General features: G+C 48.3%; 1 long non-coding RNA gene across 1 annotated transcript; it reads left to right on the forward strand.

The window, feature by feature from the left end:
• The first annotated feature begins 3,638 nt into the window (after positions 1-3,638).
• LOC124901083 (uncharacterized) lies at positions 3,639-13,331 on the forward strand. The gene is made up of 2 exons (XR_007058961.1): positions 3,639-4,210; positions 10,257-13,331. It is a non-coding gene; the product is annotated as an uncharacterized LOC124901083 (long non-coding RNA).
• Positions 13,332-20,012: the final 6,681 nt, after the last annotated feature.

Below are 20,012 nucleotides of genomic sequence, written 5' to 3' on the forward strand. Positions count from 1 at the left end.
TATTCTTTTTCACATTAAATTATTTTGGCACCCTTGTTGAAAATAAAAATCAACTGTGACAGGGCCAGGCATGTTGGCTTATGCCTGTAACCCCAGCACTTTGAGAGGCCAAGGTGGCAGATCACTTGAGGTCAGGAGTTTGAGACCAGCCTGACCAACATGGTGAAACCCCATCTCTACTAAAAATACAAAAATTAGCCTGATGTGGTGGCACACGTCTGTATTCCCAGCTACTCGGGAGGCTGAGCCAGGAGAATCACTTGAACCTGGGAGGCGGAGTTAGCAGTGAGGCAAGATCACATCACTGCACTCCAGCCTGGGCAACAGAGTGAGACTCCCGCTTAAAAAAAAGAAAAAAAATCAACTGACTGTAAATGTGAGAGTTTATTTCTGGATTCTGAATTCTTTTCCACTAATCTATATGTCTTTTTTTTTTTTTTTTTTTTTGACAGAATCTCTGTTGCCCAGGCTGGAGTGCAGGGGCACTGTGTCAGATCACTGCAACCTCTGTCTCCTGGGTTCAAGCAATTCTCCTGCCTCAGCCTCCTGAATAGCTGGGATTACAGATGTGTGCCACCATGCAAGGCTAATTTTTGTGCTTTTGGTAGAGATGGGGTTTCACCATGTTGCTCAGGCTGGTCTTGAACTCCTGACCTCGTGTGATCTGCCTACCTCGGCCTCCTGAAGTGCTGGGATTACAGAAGTGGGCCACCATGGCCGGTCTTTTTTTTTTTTTTTGAGACAGGGTCACTCTATCACCTCGAATTTGAATTCCTGGGCTCAGATGCTTCTTCCACCTCAGCATCCCGAGTAGCTAGGACCACAGATGTGCACCACTACACTCAGCTAAATTTTGTATCTTTTGTAGAGAAGAGGTTTTACCATGTTACCCAGGCTAATCTGGAACTCCTGGCCTCAAGTGATCTGCCCACCTCGGCCTCCCAAAGTACTGGAATTACAGGCGTGAACCACTGTACCTGGCCAAGACTCACTTTTAACTGCATATGCTTTTGCACTTTTGTACCTTTAAATTTTTATTTTTAGTTTTATTTATTTATTTATTTATTTATTTATTTATTTTGAGACAGAGCCTGTCGCTCAGGCTGGAGTGCAGTGACAGGATCTCAGCTCACTGCAACCTCTGCCTCCTGGGTTCAAGTGCTTATCCTGCCTCAGCCTCCCAAGTAGCTGGGATTACAGGTGTGTCTAGGCCGGGCATGGTGGCTCACACCTGTAATCCCAGCACTTTGGGAGGCTGAGGCAAATGGATCACCTGAGGTCAGGAGTTTAAGACCAGCCTGACCAATACAGTGAAAGCCTGTAACTACTAACAATACAAAAATTACACCTGGGCATGGTAGGTCATGCCTGTAATCCAAGAACTTTGGGAGGCAGAGGCAGGTGGATCACCTGAGGTCGGGAGTTTGAGACAAGCCTGACCAACATGGAGAAACCCCATCTCTACTAAAAATACAAAAATTAGCCAGGGGTGGTGGCATGTACCTGTAATCCCATCTACTCTGGAGGCTGAGGCAGGAGAATTGCTTGAACCCAGGAGGCAGAGGTTGTGGTGAGCCAAGATCACACCATTGCACTCCAGCCTGGCAACAAGAACAAAATTCCATCTCAAAAAAAAAAAAAAAAATTACCCGGGCATGGTGGCAGTCACCTGTAGTCCTCCCAGCTACTCGGGAGGCTGAGACAGGAGAGTCACTTGAACCTGGAATCGTCCCACTACATTCCAGCCTGCGTAACAGAGCGAGACTCTGTCTCAAAAAAAAAAAAAAAAAAAAAAAAAGTCTACAGGCTTGGTGAGGTGGCTCATCCCTGTAATGCCAGCACTTTGGAAAGCCGAGGCAGGATTATTTGAGCCCATGAGTTCGAGACCAGCCTGGGCAACATGGTGAGATTTTTGTCTCTACCAAAAAAAAAAAAAAATCCACAAGTTATCTGATACTTCTCCCTTCAAAAGGGGAAGCCTAATTCCACTCCCAAATATAGAACTAAGTATGTCCTAAACAGCACTGTGGCTTCTTCTTTGATCTCTTTCTTGGATCACTTGCTTTGGTGAAAGTCGTCTGCCCTGCCATAAAGACACTCAAGCAGCCCCATGAAGAGGTCCAAGTGGTGGAGCTACAAGGCCTCCTATCAACAATCGGCAATATCTTGCCAGGTCCATGAACCAGCCACCTTGGCAGTGAACCCCCAGCCCTAGTCAAGCCTCCAGATGATTGCATCCCTGGATGACATCCTGATTGCACTTTCATAAGAAACCCTGAGACAGAACTACCCAGGTAAGCCACTCCCAAATTCCTGAATCTCAGAAACTATAAGATAATAAACATTATATTTTAAATTTTTTATTAAAATGAACGTGTATTGCTTGTATAATCAAAACAGAGAAAAAAGGGAATAAGAGAAAAATGGAAATAAATTCAGTCTTAGGTTCATTAACACAGCTGTGTGATCCCAAGATGGGGGTATCTTGGTCTCTCAGCAGTTTGAGTGAAGAATCCTTGAGAGCTTTGAAGGGCCACAGGTGTACTTCGAGTCATGATCAAAAAGCTGATGCTGGGCCAGACACAGTGGCTCACGCCTGTAATCCCAGCACTTTGGGAGGCTGAGGCAGGTGGATGACCTGAGGTCAGGACTTCAAGACCAGCCTGACCAACATGGAGAAACCCTGTCTCTACTAAAAATACAAAATTAGCCTGGCATGGTGGCACATGCCTGTAGTCCTATCTACTCGGGAGGCTGAGGCAGGAGAATTGCCTGAACCTGGGAGGCTGAGATTGCAGTGAGCTGAGATTGTGCCATTACACTCTAGCCTTGGCAACAAGAGCAAACTTCCGTCTGAAAAAAAAAAAAAAAAAAAGCTGATGCTGGCTGGATGTGGTGGCTCACGTCTGTAATCCCAGCACTTTGGAAGGCTGAAGCAGGTGAGTCTCTTGAGGTCAGGAGTTCAAGACCAGCCTGACCAACATGGTGAAACCCCATCTCTACTAAAAATACAAAAATTAGCCAGGCATGGTGGCGCACACCTGTAATCCCAGCTACTTGGGAGGCTGAGACAGGAGAATCGCTTGAACCTGGGAGGCAGAGGTTTCAGTGAGCTGAAATTGCACCACTGCACTCCAGCCTGGGCAATAGAGAGAGACTCTGTCTCAAAAAATAGAAACCAAAGGCTGATGTTTCCTTGGGCCATGTTAGTGGAAATGCAGTGCCTGCAAGAGAGGTGACCCACATCAGGCTAGATCTGGGCCTTGAACACTGTCATTGAGATGGCATTCAGGGGCCCAAAGGGGCTTCTTCCTTCATCTTGGGCTGATTCCCTCATAGTGAGAGGTGAACCCGGCTGGGCTTCTGGGTTGGGTGGGGACTTGGAGAACTTTTCTGTCTAGCTAAAGGATTGTAAACACACCAATCAGCACTCTGTGTCTAGCTAAAAGTTTGTAAATGCACCAATCAGCACTCTGTAAAAATGCACCAATCAGCGCTCTGTCTAGCTAAAGGTTTGTAAATGCAACAATCAGCATTCTGTAAAAACGGACCAATCAGCACTCTGTAAAATGGACCAATCAGCAGGATGTGGGCGGGGCCAAATAAGGGAATAAAAGCTGGCCACCTGAGCCAGCAGTGGTAACCTGCTCGGGTCCCCTTCCACATCATGGAAGCTTTGTTCTTTTGCTCTTAGCAATAAATCTTGCTGCTGCTCACTCTTTGGGTCTGCACTACCTTTCTGAGCTGTAACACTCACTGTGAAGGTCTGCAGCTTCCCTCCTAAAGCCAGCGAGACCACAAACCCACTGGGAGGAACAAACAACTCCAGATATGCCAGCTTTAAGAGCTGTAACACTCACTGGGAAGGTCTGCAGCTTCACTCCTGAAGTCAGCAAGACCACGAACCCATTGAGAGGAATGAACAACTCCGGACGTGCTACCTTTAAGAGCTGTAACACTCACTGCGAGGGTCCGTGTCTTCACTCCTGAAGTCAGCAAGATCATGAACCCACCAGAAGGAAGAAACTCCGGACATATCTGAACATCTGAAGGAACAAACTCTGGACACACCATCTTTAAGAACTGTAACACTCACCGTGAGGGTCTGCGGCTTCATTCTTGAAGTCAGTGAGACCAAGAACCCACCAGAAGGAACCAATTCCAGACACATTTTGTCTACCCAGATGGGACTATCGCCTATCGCCAAGTGGTGAGTACCATCAGACCCCTTTCGCTTGCTATTCTGTCCTATTTTTCCTTAGAATTTGGGGGCTAAATACCGGGCACCTGTCAGCCAGTTAAAAGCGACTAGCGTGGCCGCCGGACTAAAGACAAGAGTATCAGGCTTTCTGGGAAAGGGCTCTCTGACAACACCCGACTCTTCAGAGTTGGGAGCGTTGGTTTGCCTGGAACCAGCTTCCGCTTTTCCTGTACTTCTGGACTGAGCCAAGGGTCAACACAGAGGAAAGCCATTCAGCTCCCAGGTCCCGACAAGTTGGTTGACCCTGCGGCCATGAGTGGAACTCTGAAAGTCATGTCGCCCAAGCGAGACTCGCCCGTCTATCCTATCTATCCTGACCCTTGCCTCCTGGGTCCTAATGCCTGTCAGACAAACTTCCTCTCGCCTCTCTTCTCTGAGGCTAGTCCTGCTTCTAAAAACCACTCCCTATCTCTGGTGCTTTTCTAGTTTCTCCCATAAGAATGATTTCTAGTATAAACTTCAGGACTCATGAGAGTCCCTTCTGTAGGCACCCAGTCTCACCAATCAGAAAGACATAATTTTTGCCCAAAGCCCCATTGTAGGGGGGAATATCTGGAATTCTAGGATCCCTCCTCAGACAAACAGGACTAACAAAAGCTATTTCTGAAGCTAGGATATGGGGAGCCTTAGAAAGCTAGGATATCCTTAGAAGCTAGGATATGGGGAGCCTTTATCCTTCCTATTCATATAAGTGAGGACAAAAGGCATCACACTTCCAACTCTGGAGATCCCTTCCCTCCCTCAGAGTATGGCCCTCCACTTCATTTTTGGGGCATAGCATCTTTATAGAACAGGGGTAAAGTCCCAATACTAACAGGAGAATGCTTAGGATTCTAACAGGTTATCGAGAATGCGTCAGTAAGGGCCACTAAATCCGATTTTTCTTGGTCCTCTTTGTGGTCTAGGAGGACAGGCAACGGTGCAGGTTTTCAAGAATGCATTGGTAAGGGCCACTAAATCCGACCTTCCTCAGTCCTCCTTGTGGTCTAGGAGGAAAACTAGTGTTTCTGCTACTGCATTGGTGAGTGCAACTATTCTGATCAGCAGGGTCCAAGGACCATTGCGGGTTCTTGGGCAAGAGGTGTTTCTGCTGCTGTGTCAGTGAGTGCAACTATTCCGATCAGCAGTGTCCAGGGACCACTGCAGATTCTTGGGCAGGGGGAGAAACAAACAAACCAAAACCATGGGCAGTTTTGTCTTTCAGATGGGAAACACTCAGGCATCAACAGGCTCACCCTTGAAATGCATCCTCAGTCATTAGGACCAATTTGACCTGCAAACCCTGAAAAAGAGGCAGCTCATTTTTGTCTGCACTATGGCGTGGCCCCAGTATTCTCTCTGATGGGGAAAAATGGCCCCCTGAGGGAAGTATAAATTACAATACTATCCTGCAGCTTGACCTTTTCTGTAAGAGAGAAGGCAAATGGATTGAAATACCTTATGTCCAAGCTTTCTTTTCATTGAAGGAGAATAGACAACTATGCAAAGCTTGCAATTTACATCCCACAGGAGGACCTTTCAGCATACCCTCAAATCCTAGCCTCCCTATAGCTCCCCTTCCTATTAATGATAAGCCTCCTCTAATCTCCCCTGCCCAGAAGGAAATAAGCAAAGAAATCTCCAAAGGACCACAAAAACCCCCAGGCTATCGGTTATGTCCTCTTCAAGCTGTAGGGGGAGGGGAATTTGGCCCAACCCGGGTACATGTCCACTTCTCCCTCTCTGATTTAAAGCAGATCAAGGCAGACCTGGGGAAGTTTTCAGATGATCCTGATAAGTACATAGATGTCCTATAGGGTCTAGGGCAAACCTTCGATCTCACTTGGAGAGATGTCATGCTATTGTTAGAGGAAACCCTGGCCTTTAATGAAAAGAATGCAGCTTTAGCTGAGTTTGGAGGTACCTGGTATCTTAGACAAGTAAATGATAGAATGACAGCTAAAGAAATGGACAAATTCCCTACCAGTCAGCAAGCCGTCCCCAGTATGATCCCCACTAGGACCTTGACTCAGATCATGGGGACTGGAGTTGTAAACATCTGTTGACCTGTGTTCTAGAAGGACTAAGGAGAATTAGGAAAAAGCCCATGAATTATTCAGTGATGTCCACCATAACTCAAGGAAAGGAAGAAAATCTGTCTGCCTTCCTTGAGTGGCTACGGGAGGCCTTAAGAAAATATACTCCCCTGTCACCCAACTCACTAGAGGGTCAATTGATTCTAAAAGATAAGTTTATTACCCAATCAGCCACAGATATCAGGAGAAAGCTCCAACAGTGAGCCCTGGGCCCTGAACAAAATCTGGAGGCATTATTAAACTTAGTAACCTCAGCGTTCTATAATAGGGACCAAGAGGAATAGGCCCAAAAGGAAAAGCAAGATCAGAGAAAGGCCACAGCCTTAGTCATGGCCCTCAGACAAACAAACCTTGTTGGTTCAGAAAGGACAGAAAATGGAGCAGGCCAATCACCCAGTAGGGCTTGTTATCAGTATGGTTTACAAGGGCACTTAAAAAAGATTGTCCAGTGAGAAACAAGCCACCCCCTCATCCATGTCCACTGGCAATCACTGGAAGGCAAAAGGCCCTAGAGTGCAATGGTTCTCTGGGCCAGAAGCCCCCAACTAGATGATCCAACAACAGGACTGAGGGTGCCCAGGGCAAGCACCAGCTCATGTCATTACCCTCACTGAGCCCTGGGTATGTTTAATCATTGAGGGCCAGGAAATTGACTTCCTCTTGGACACTGGCATGGTCTTCTCAGTTTAATCTCCTGTCCCAGATGACTGTCCTCAAGGTCCATTACCATCCAAGGAATCCTGGGACAACCTGTAATCAGGTATTTCTCCCACCTCCTTGCTTGCAACTGGGAGACTTTGTTCTTTTCACATCCCTTTCTTGTTATGCCTGAAATTCCCACACTCACCCTTATTAGGGAGGGAAATATTAGCCAAAGCTAGAGCTATTATCTACATGAATATGGGGAACAAGTTACCCATTTGTTGTCCCCTACTTGAGGAAGGAATCAACCCTGAAATGTGGGTATTGGAAGGACAATTTGGAAGGGCAAAAAATGCCTGCCCAGTCCAAATCAGGCTAAAAGTCCCCACCACTTTTCCTTATCAAAGGCAATATCCCTTAAGGCCTGAAGCTCATAAAGGATTACAGGATATTGTTAAACATTTAAAAGCTCAAGGCTTAGTAAGGAAATGCAGCAGTCCCTGCAACACCCCAATTCTAGGAGTACAAAAACTGAACAGTCAGTGGAGACTAGCGCGAGATCTTAGACTCATCAATGAGGCAATAATTCTTCTATATCCAGTTGTACCCAACCCCTATACCCTGCTCTCTCAAATACCAGAGGAAGCAGAATTGTTCACTGTTCTGGACCTCAAGGATGCCTTCTTCTATATTCCCCTGCACTCTGACTCCCTGCTTCTCTTTGCCTTTGAGGATCCCACAGACCACACATCCCAACTTACATGGACTGTCTTGCCCCAAGGGTTTAGGGATAGCCCTCACTTGTTTGGTCAGGCACTGGCCCAAGATCTAGGCCACTTCTCAAGTCCAGGCACTCTGGTCCTTCAGTATGTGGATGATTTACTTTTGGCTACCAGTTCAGAAGCCTCATGCCAGCAGGCTACTCTAGACCTCTTGAACTTTCTAGCTAATCAACGGTACAAGGCATCTAGGTCGAAGGCCCAGCCTTGCCTATAGCAGGATAAATATCTAGGCCTAATCTTAGCCAGAGGGACCAGGGCCCTTAGCAAGGAATGAATACAGCCTATACTGGCTGATCCTCAGCCTAAGACATTAAAACAGTTGCGGGGGTTCCTTGGAATCACTGGCTTTTGCCGACTATGGATCCCCAGATACAGCAAGATAGCCAGGCCCCTCTATACTCTAATCAAGGAGACCCAGAGGGCAAATACTCATCTAGAAGAATGGGAACCAGGGGCAGAAACAGCCTTCAAAATCTTAAAGCAGGCCCTAGTACAAGCTCCAGGTTTAAGCCTTCCCACAGGACAAAACTTCTCTTTATACATCACAGAGAGAGCAGGGATAGCTCTTGGAGTCCTTACTCAGACTTGTGGGACAACCCACAACCAGTGGCATACTTAAATAAGGAAATTGATGTAGTAGCAAAAGGCTGGCCTCACTGTTTAAGGGTAGTTGCGGTGGTGGCTGTCTTAGTGTCAGAGGCTATCAAAATAATACAAGGAAAGGATCTCACAGTCTGGACTACTCATGATGTAGATGGCATACTAGGTGCCAAAGGAAGTTTATGGTTATCAGACAACTGCCTACTTAGATACCAGGCACTACTCCTTGAGGGACTGGTGCTTCAAATACATACATGCGTGGCCCTCAACCCTGCCACTTTTCTCCCAGAGGATGGGGAACCAATCAAGCATGACTGCCAACAAATTATAGTCCAGACTTATGCCGCCCGAGCTGATCTCTTAGAAGTCCCCTTAGCTAATCCTGACCTTAACCTATATACCAATGGAAGTTCATTTGTGGAGAATGGGATACGAAGGGCAGGTTATGCCATAGTTAGTGATGTAACTGTACTTGAAAGTAAGCCTCTTCCCCCAGGGACCAGTGCCCAGTTAGCAGAACTAGTGGCACTTACCCGAGCCTTAGAACGGGGAAAGGGAAAAAGAATAAATGTGTATACAGATAGCAAGTATGCTTATCTAATACTACATGCCCATGCTGCAATATGGAAAGAAAGGGAGTTCCTAACCTCTGGGGGAACCCCCAGTAAATACCACAAGGAAATTATGGAGTTATTGCATGCAGTGCAAAAACACTAGGAGGTGGCAGTCTTACACTGCCAAAACCATCAGAAAGGTGAAGGAGAAAAGGCAGAAGGAAACTGTCAGGCAGATGCTGAGGCAAAAATTGCTGCCAGGTGGAACCTCCCATTAGAAATACCTAGGGAAGGACCCTTGGTATGGAACAACCCCCTCCAGGAGATTAAGCCCCAGTATTCCCCGACTGAAACAGAATGGGGACTTTCACAGAGGCATAGTTTTCTCCCCCCAGGGTGGTTAACGACAGAAGAAGGAAAGATACTTATACCTGAAGCTAGCCAGTGGAAAATACTTAAAACCCTCCACCAAATTTTTCATATGGGTATTGAAAACACTCATCAAATGGCTGAATCCCTATTTATAGGGCCAAGTCTCCTCCGGACCATCCTACAGGTAGTCAAAGCCTGTGAGGTGTGCCAAAGGAATAATCCCTTTGTCCATCATAAGGCCCCTTTGGGGGAACAAAGAATAGGTCACTATCTTGGAGAGGACTGGCAGTTAGACTTCACCCATATGCCTAAGTCAAAGGGATTTCGATACTTGCTTGTCTGTGTTGATACCTTTACAAATTGGATAGAAGCTTTCCCCTGCAAGACAGAGAAGGCTCAGGAAGTGATTAAAGTCCTAATTCATGAAATAATTCCTAGACTTGGGCTTCCCCAAAGCTTACAAAGTGACAATGGTCTGGCCTTTAAAGCCATGATAACTCAGGGAATTCCAGGGCGCTAGGGATACAATATCACCTTCACTGCACCTGGAGGCCACAATTCTCAGGGAAGGTCTAGAAGGCAAATGAAACACTCAAGAGGCACTTAAGGAAACTAACACAAGAAACTCATCTGCCATGGCCTACTCTGTTGCCCATGGCCTTGTTGAGAATCCGAAATTCTCCTCACAAAATGGGGTTCAGTCCATATGAAATGCTGTAGGGACGACCTTTTCTCACAAATGACCTCCTACTTGATCAGGAAACGGCCAACTTGGTCAAAGATATAACTTCTTTGGCAAAATATCAACAAAACCTTAAAAACCTACCTGAAGGATGTCACAGAGAAAAGGGAACAGAGTTGTTTCAACCTGGAGATCCAGTGTTGGTCAAATCTCTCCTCTCTACCTCCCCATCTATGGACTCTTTGTGGGAAGGACCATACTCAATAATCCTCTCTACCCCCACTGCAGTTAAGGTGGCAGGAGTGGAATCTTGGATTCACCACACCCGAGTTAAATTTTGGACATCCCCTGAGGAACCTGCGGGACCATCAGCTCAGGAGTCCCAAGATCACCCAGACCAGCCTTGATACCTGTGAACCATTGGAGGACTTGCATCTCCTATTTTGGAAGGAATCATCCCAGACTAAAAAGGCTCCTACCACTGATCCTGAAGAAAAACCCCTTCCTCCTTAAAAAAGATAAGTGAAAACCTACATAATCTTTAACACCTCTCCTTGCCCCTTTAATGGAAACCTTTTACTATTTCATCATGTTATTAAGCAGCATACTAACCATACTCTTTGCAATAGGACTATATACTGTAGCTCCTGCTGGGATGAAAATAAAATAGAACACAGGGAGCCACTCACTTTGCTCCCAACATCCCTTTCCAGCCACTCACCGGAGCTACCTTGGCAAGTACTCTAGAAGTATGAAAAAATGAAAACAACAAACTCGCACACCTTTTTAACATACACAACCAGTTTTGTCTACCCAGCCGAGGTATATTCTTCTTATGTGGAACACCGACCTATATCTGCCTCCCCACTAACTGGACAGGCACCTGCACCTTAGTCTTTCTAAGCCCCAACATTAACATTGCCCCAGGAAATCAGACCCTATCAGTACCCCTCAAAGCTCAAGTCCATCAGCGCAGAGGCATACAACTAATACCCCTACTTATAGGGTTAGGAATGGCTACGCTACAGGAACTGGAATAGCCAGTTTATCTACTTCATTATCCTACTACCACACACTCTCAAAGGATTTCTCAGACAGTTTGCAAGAGATAATGAAAACTATCCTTACTCTACAATCCCAAATAGACTCTTTGGCAGCAGTGAGTCTCCAGAACTGCTGAGGCCTAGACCTCCTCATTGCTAAGAAAGGAGGACTCTGCACCTTCTTAGGGGAAGAGTGTTGTTTTTACACTAACCAGTCAGGTATAGTACGAGATGCCACCCGGTGTTTACAGGAAAAGGCTTCTGAAATCAGACAACGCCTTTCAAACTCTTATACCAACCTCTGGAGTTGGGCAACATGGCTTCTCCCCTTTCTAGGTCCCATGGCAGCCATCTTGCTATTACTCGCCTTCAGGCCCTGTATTTTTAACCTTGTCAAATTTGTTTCCTCTAGGATCGAAGCCATCAAGCTACAGATGGTCTTACAAATGGAACCCCAAATGAGCTCAAATAACAACTTCTACTGAGGACCCCTGGACCTACCCACTGGCCCTTTCACTGGCCTAAAGAGTTCCCCTCCCGAGGACACTACAACTGCAAGGCCCCTTCTTCGCCCCCATCCAGCAGGAAGTAGCCACAGCGATCATTGCCCAATTCCCAACAGCAGTTGGGGTGTCCTGTTTAGAGGGGGCATTGAGAGGTGAAGCCAGCTGGGCTTCTGGGTCGGGTGGGGACTTAGAGAACTTTTCTGTCTAGCTAAAGGATTGTAAACACACCAATGAGCACTCTGTGTCTAGTTAAAGGTTTGTTTTTTGTTTTTTTTTGAGACAGAGTCTTGCTCGGTTGCCCAGGCTGGAGTGCAGTGGCACTATCTCAGCTCACTGGAAGCTCCGCCTCCTGGGTTCATGCCATTCTCCTGCTTCAGCCTCCTGAGTAGCTGGGGCTACAGGCACCCGCCACCACGCCCACCTAATTTTTTGTATTTTTAGTAGAGACGGGGTTTCACCATTTTAGCCACGATGGTCTCGATCTCCTGACCTCATGATCTGCCCACCTCAGCCTCCCAAAGTGCTGGGATTACAGGCGTGAGCCACCACACCCGGCCAAGGTTTGTAAATGCACCAATCAGCATTCTGTAAAAACGCACCAATAAGCGCTCCGTCTAGCCAAATGTTTGTAAACTTACCAATCAGCAGTCTGTAAAAACGGACCAATCAGCACTCTGTAAAATGGACCAATCAGCAGGATGTGGGTGGGGCCAAATAAGGGAATAAAAGCTGGCCACCCGAGCCAGCAGTGGCAACCTGCTTGGGTCCCCTTCCACACCGTGGAAGCTTTTTTCTTTCACTCTTAGCAATAAATCTTGCTGCTGCTCACTCTTTGGACCCGCACTACCTTTCTGAGCTGTAACACTCCCTGCAAAGGTCTGTGGTTTCACTCCTGAAGCCAGCGAGACCACAAACCCACTGGGAGGAACAACCAACTCCGGACGTGCCACCTTTAACAGCTGTAACACTCACTGGGAAGGTCTGTGGCTTCACTCCTGAAGTCAGCGAGACCACGAACCCATCTGGAGGAATGAAAAACTCCAGATGAACCACCTTTAAGAGCTGTAACATTCACTGCAATGGATCACAGCTTCACTCCTGAAGTCAGCAAGACCACAAACCCACCAGAAGGAAGAAACTCCAGACACATCTGAACATCTGAAGGAACAAACTCCAGACACACCATCTTTAAGAACTGTAACACTCACTGCAAGGGTCTGCAGCTTCATTCTTGAAGTCAGTGAGACCAAGAACCCACCAGAAGGAACCAATTCCGGACACAATAGCTTCTTCCTCCCTTGTGTGCTCCCGCAAGACTGGGCCTTGTCTGCCTCCAGACACTCCGTACTCTCTCTCACTGCTTAGATGGCTCTTTCCATCCCTCTTCCATCCTCCAAACACGCCATCCCTTCCCATGATGCTGCATTTTCCAGTGAGCAGACTAAGCTCAGAGCATCAGCAAAACCCTCCGTTTTTCTTGAAACTTTGAACTTCATGGAAGTTGCTCACCTTCTGCCTAACCACAGGGAAATGGCCCCAGGAAGTCTTCCCAGTCCCCATGTGGGTGAGGGCCTTGCCTCCTGTTCCAGGTCCACCCACATCTTTCCTATTTGGCCATGTCCATGTGTTATTATTACTGTTGGTTTGGTTGTTGGCTTCTTGGACAGACTATAAACCACAGGAGGACAGGCTTCAACCTTATTTATTCTCTGCTATGGCCCCAAGGCCTGGCACACAGCAAATGCTCTGTATAGAGTCATGAATGAGTGAACAAACAAATAAGTGAACAAACAAATAAATGAACAAACTCAGGATACCGGAACAATCCCTTAAACTGCCTGCAGGGCCAGGTTTGGCAGAAGAGCCTTCCTCTTTATGAACACAGATGGCAGAAGTAGGACAAGTCAAAGTGAATGTCAAATTTTTGTTTTAAATCAGGAAGAACCTTCTAATAACATAGATTGCATTGTGAAGTAGTGAGCTGTGGTCACCAAAGGGGTTTACAAGAAGGCTAGTGGGCTCTCTATGAGGAACAGTCTGCAGAAAGAATTCCAGACTGGACAGAGGTTGTGAATTCCCAAGGTCCCACGCCAGCTGGGCTGTTGAGGAAGCCATGAATGTATCTTTATGGCGAGGGAGGATTGAGGAGATAGATTTTTTTTCCACTTGAGGAATTTGGTTTTTTCGTTTGTTTTTGCTTTTTTCAGTTTTTTTGAGACAGAGTCTCACTCTGTCGCCCAGACTGGAGTGCAGTGGCCCGATCTCAGCTCACTGCAACCTCCACCTACCAGGTTCAAGCAATTATTGTGCCTCAGGCTCCCGAGTAGCTGGGACTACAGGCACGTGCCACCGTGCCAGGCTAATTTTTCTATTTTTAATAGAGACGGGGTTTCAGCATGTTGGCCAGGCTGGTCTCAAACTCCTGGACTCAAGTGATCTGCCTGCCTTGGCCTCCCAGAGTGCTGGGATTACAGGTGTGAGCCACCGTGCCCAACTGGAATTTAGGCTGGCTGAGCAGAGCTGGCCAGGTTCACTCATCCATACTTCCCCATCCCAGCCCATCACTTCTCAGGCCTGCAAGAGGCCATGTGACTGGCACTGGTGACACCTGGTGGCCAGTTGGACAAGGAGAGAGACAGCTGTCTATCTGGTTCATGGCTGTATCCCAGGCCTGGCAAAGAGAAGGCTCTCCCCTTTGAGGGATGAATGAATGAATACAGACTAGAAAGAGGAAAAGGAGGAATAGATACTCTCTCTTTAGCCTGGAGACCCACCAGGGCAATGAACCAAGACTGCATGAGAAGGCCAGAAATTCATCTGCTCAGGGTTGTGCAGACAGAAGGGCCTCTGCTCTCTCTTACCTCCCTTGTCTGTGCCTGTCCTGTGTTCTAGGGCACCTGTGAGGCAGGGGAGGGGCTATTTTGGGAAAAGGCTGATGTTAATTAAAGCTGCTTCTGCATCTGAGCTTAATCATGCTCTGAAGCTATGAATAGAGAGACCCGTGGGCTGGGTTGGAAGTGCCTGAGCAACACTCCTTTCAGAGAGAGGACACTGAGGCCAAGAGAGGGCAGGAGCCTGCCTAAGGTTCCAGAGCCAGGACTCCCAGCTCCAATTCATTAAGCCGTAGCACTGGTCACCTAAGATAGAAACACAGAAGAAAACAGTTGGTGTGGAGCCTGGAGGAGCAAGCACAAGCACCCTAGCCTGGCAGGCAGGGAGCGTTAACATCACCACTGACTCCGCCCGGCATGCACCTTTCCTTCCAGCCAAAAAGCCGAGGATCTGTGGGCTGCACCAAGTGTGCATCCCTCCCAACTCACCCAGGCTCCCTCCTCTCAATCACTCTGCTTTACACCCATCCCTTCAAGTGTATGGGCTGGCTTAACCTCTCTGGGCCTCAGTTTCCTAATCTGCAGAGGGATTGTTTGAAGTGTGAAAGAGACTATGTGTCAAGTGTATAGAACAGTATTTGACACATGGTCAGCATCCAGTAAGAACTACAGCTGCAGTCAGGCGCTGTGGTTCAAACCTGTAATCTCAGCACTTTGGGAGGATGAGGCAGATGAATCACCTGAGGTCAGGAGTTCAAAACCAGCCTGGCCAAAGTGGTGAAACCCCATCTCTACCAAAATACGGAAAGATCAGCTGGGCATGATGGCACATGCCTGTAATCCCAGCTACTCAGGAAGCTGAGGCAGGAGAATAGCTTGAACCCAGGAGGCAGAGGTTGCAGTGAGCTGAGATCACGCCACTGTACTCCAGCCTGGGCAACAGTGTGAGACTCCATCTCAAAAAAAAAAAAAAAAATGCCAGGCGCGGTGGCTCACACCTGTAATCCCAGCACTTTGGGAGGCCGAGGCAGGCGGATCACTTGAGGTCGGGAGTTCAACACCAGCCTGGCCAACATGGTGAAACCCTGTCTCTACTAAAAATACAAAAAATTGCTCAGGTGTGGTGGCACACGCCTGTAATCCCAGCTACTCGAAAGGCTGAGTCAGGAGAATTCCTTGAACCCAGGAGGCAGAGGTTGCAGTGAGCCGAGATTGCGCCACTGCAGTCCGCAGTCTGGCCTGGGCGACAGAGCGAGACTCCGTCTCAAAAAAAAAAAAAAAAAAAAAAAGACTGTCTCAAAAAAAAGAAAAAGAAAGAAAGAAAGAACCGGCCAGGCGCGGTGGCTCACGCCTGTAATCCCATCCCAGCACTATAGGAGGCTGAGGCGGGTGGATCACCTGAGGTCGGGAGTTCGAGACAAGTCTGACCAACATGGAGAAACCCCGTCTCTACTAAAAATACAAAATTAGCCGGGCATGGTGGCACATGCCTGTAATCCCAGCTACTCGGGAGGCTGAGGCAGGAGAATCGCTTGAACCTGGGCAACAGGAGCGAAACTCTGTCTCAAAAAAATTAAAAAAAAAGAACCACAGCTGCGATGATCATGTTTATTCTAATTAAGGCTCAATTTAAATCCTTCCCACAACTCCCAATTAAATGGGGAGAAACGTACTTGAGGTCAGGGTCAGAGTTCCTTGACTCTGTATCCAGAGAAGGACCAGAACACAGGGTATAGCGTGGTCTGTGTTGGCTCTAGGCAGCATCAGCTGGCTGGTTTCCTACAGGCTGGGCAGGGACTGGCCCTGCTGTCTGAACCTGGCTTTCTTGAGGCTGTAATGGCTTATTTATCTAGACTGGGCTTGGGATTTCTCTGATGGGTCAAAAATCAGAGAGACAAGGTACTGCTGGAGTACAAAGATGCCATCTGAAGCTGGGCGCAGTGGCTCATACCTGTAATCCCAGCACTTTGGGAGGCTGAGGCAGGTGGATCACCTGAGGTCAGGAGTTCGAGACCAGCCTGGCCAACATGACGAAACCTTGCCTCTACTAAAAATAAAAAAAATTACCCGGGCATGGTGGCGCACACCTGTAATCCCAGTTGCTTGGGTGGCTGAGGCAGGAGAATCACTTGAACCTGGGAGGCAGAGGTTGCAGTGAGCTGAGATCGCACCATTGCACTCCAGCCTGGGCAACAAGAGTGAAACTCCATCTCAAAAAAACAAACAAACAAAAAAAAAGATGCCACTGCTAGCTGCCCTGGATAGTACAGGTAGGACTCAACGCCCCAGTAGAGCGGTAGAGATGGGTCAAGAGGTCCACAGAGACCACAGAGAAGAAAGTTGATATATGCACACAGGTTCTCCTTGGCATCCTTGGGAGGAGATACATCCTTAAACTAGACCCCTGTGGGTGACAGCTGGAGGGGGACTGGAAGGGCCCGATACTCCCCAATCACTTCTTCTCCTCCACCCCAGGGATGGCTTATTCTAGTTCCTCTTCTCTCTCACCAGATGCCAGGTGCTAGAATTGTCTCAAGCTTGGAATATGTCCAGATATTCATTAATTCAATACTTAACACATATTTATTGATCCCCTTCTCTGTGCCAGGCACATTGCTCTGTGAACAAGACAGACACAACCCTTGCCATAAGGAGTTTACATTCTGACTGGGGGACAAAGAAGCAGACAGGCAAAACTCCACTTAAGCACTGTTTTAGGAGTAAGCCTGGGGCTTCAGGAGAGCAGGAGAGGGATGACCTGTAATCTCAATGTGAAGGAAGCAGAGGAGGTGTAGTGTCTGAGTAGGGGGAAACTACACCTCCTGTGCTGTGTACAGGCTAGGAGGGAAGATAACCCTGTTTTTGGCTTTTTGGGGTTTTTTGTTTTTTTTTGTTTTGTTTTGTTTTTGAGACAGAGTCTCACTCACTCGTCGCCCAGGCTGGAGTGCAGTGGCGCAATCTCGGCTCACTGCAACCTCCACCTCCCGGATTCAAGTGATTCTCCTGCCTCAGCCTCCAAAGTAGCTGGGATTACAGGCGTCTGCCACCATGCCGAACTAATTTTTTGTATTTTTAGTAGAGACGGGGTTTCACCATGTTGGCCAGGCTGGTCTCGAACGCCTGACCTCAAGAGATCCGCCCACCTCCGCCTCCCAAAGTGCTGGGATTACAGTAACCCTGTAATTTTTCCGGAGCTGCAAGAAGCGGGTCTCAACTAAGGAAACCTGGTGAAAATGCGTGCCACTCCCAGGGATTCTGATTTGATGGGTCTGGCACAGGGACCCAGAATCTGTGTATTAAACAAGCTCCACCAGTGATGTTGATGCAGATGACTGTGGATCCACCCAGAGGGAGGCTTTGTGAAAGATGGGCTGGAGGGTGCAGGGTCCAGGCCTCAAAGGCTGGTGGGTCAGACCGAGAAGTTTGATCTTTATATGAAAGGAAGGCTGCTGAAGATCATCAATCCTAGGAACAACATTATCTTTACAAATACCCTTCCTCAGAATCGCTTGAACCCGGGAGGCAGATGTTGCAGTGAGCCGAGACAGTGCTACTGCACTCCAGCCTGGGCGACAGAGCGAGACTCCGTCTCAAAAAAATAAATAAATAAATAAATAAAATAAATAAATAAATTTCCTTCCTCCAGCTGCAGGGCAAAAAATGGGTTGAAGAGCCGGACTGGTGGTAACTGGTGTGGCCATCCAGCCTGGAGTCGATGTTGGCATGAATGAAGACACAGGCAGTTGGGACAGAGAGAAGCGAGTGGGATGTGGAGGTGACCCGATGAAATACTGGCCCGGAGATATGAGGCATGAGGCGGGGAGCACGAGGGTGTCGAAGGGCCAAAATGTGGTAAGAGAAGCCGGAGGAGTGTGAGGACAGGTGGAAGGGATCCAATGTGGGATCTAAGGGGTCTGAGACCACCGTGGCCGCGGGAGGCAGGAGAAGGTACCGCAGAGCTCCCGGTGATGTGTCAGGAGGCCCTACACTCGCGCGTGCACTGGCTCGCAGTTTGGACAGAGACCCTACAGGCCAGGCCGCAGCTGCGCCCAGACCACCCCCAGCGGGTGAAGACTGCCGCGGCGGCGCAGTTCCCGGCATGCCTCCGGCCGGTGACTTCATCCGGCCCGGGGCCAAGGCCCGGCCTCCGCTAGAGGGCGCTGCTCTCAGCAGCCGCGCCGCCCGGATGGACTCGCGCCAGAGTAGGACAAGAGAGGCAGGCGGCGGCTGCTCCGTGCGGCTCCCACGCCTCTCGGGCGGCAGGTCCTGCCTCGGACCTGGGACCACTGGCTGGCGCCTGTGGCTCACATCTCCACGCCTTTGCCCGCTCCTCCCAGGAGCCCGAGTCAGAAACCTGTGCTTCACCCTCGAGAGCGCTGCCATCCTCCCCCTCAACCAGACGGGCATGGCGTCTGGTTGTCCGTCCTGTCTTCTCATCGTCTCAGAGCCCTTCCCTGACCCCTACCCTCTCTCAGACCAACAGGATGATGACAGGAAGAGGATCCAGGACCAACTCCTAGCGGTGACCTTGAGAAAACAATCTCATACCCCAGTTTCCCTTACAATGCAATGGAAATAATACTAACAACCCTGGAAGAGTGTTGGAAGGACTAAACGAAATCATCTTTTTCAGTACTAAGCAGAGGCTCAGTGAGCATCAGCGTTTTTTTGTTTGTTTGTTTGTTTTCTTGAAACTGGTTGGAGCCCAGGCTGGAGTGCAGTGGCATGATCTTGGCCCACTTGAGCCTCAATTGCCTGGGCTCAAGCCATTCTTCCTCCTCAGCCTCTGGAGTAGCTGGGACCACAGTTGCATGCCACCACGACTGGCTACTTTTGTTCATTTTTTTTGTAGAGTTGGGGTCTCTCTAAATGGTCTTGAACTACTGGACTCAAGCGATCCTCCCACCTCGGCTTCCCAAAGCACTGGGATTACAGGCATGAGCCACTGTCCCCGGCCAACATCAGCTATTTTAACACTTCTCTCTGTTGCTGGAATGTACTCACTGGCCCCAAACTCTTCAGTGGCTTCTGACTGCCCTCAGGATCAGTCCACACGTTTAGCTTGGCATGCACAACCCTTTCAGTCTCGTTTCTTGTCATCTCCCACGTCCTTTGTGTGCTTTATCACAGGCTTTGGCCTGAACACTCCTTTGCCACCTTTTCTACCTGCCTAAACACTCCTCACATTTTGAGACCCAACATAAAAGCATTCCTATCACACATACCACCTGCACCACCTCCCCCATAATGATCCCAAAGTTTTAAGATGCCCAGAACATCTTTGCTGCTGCTGCTTCTTTTTTTTTTTTTTTTTTTTGAGATGGAGTCTCGCTCTGTCGTCCAGGCTTGAGTGCAAAGGCGTGATCTCAGCTCACTGCAACCTCCACCTCCTGGGTTCAAGCAATTCTCCTGCCTCAGCCTCCCGAGTAGCTGGGACTACAGGTGTCCACCACTATGCCCAGCTAATTTTTGTATTTTTAGTGGAGATGGGGTTTCATCATGTTGGCCAGGGTGGTCTCGATCTCCTGACGTCGTGATCTGCCCACCTCGGCCTCCCAAAGTGCTGGGATTACAGGTGTGAGCCACTGCACCCGGCTGCTTCTTTTACCAGTAACAAAATGGAAACACTAAGGGACACTATGTCATTATTATAGATATTCTTGA

Source organism: Homo sapiens, chromosome 5 (assembly GCF_000001405.40).
Source record: "Homo sapiens chromosome 5, GRCh38.p14 Primary Assembly".
Classification (NCBI taxonomy): domain Eukaryota; kingdom Metazoa; phylum Chordata; class Mammalia; order Primates; family Hominidae; genus Homo; species Homo sapiens.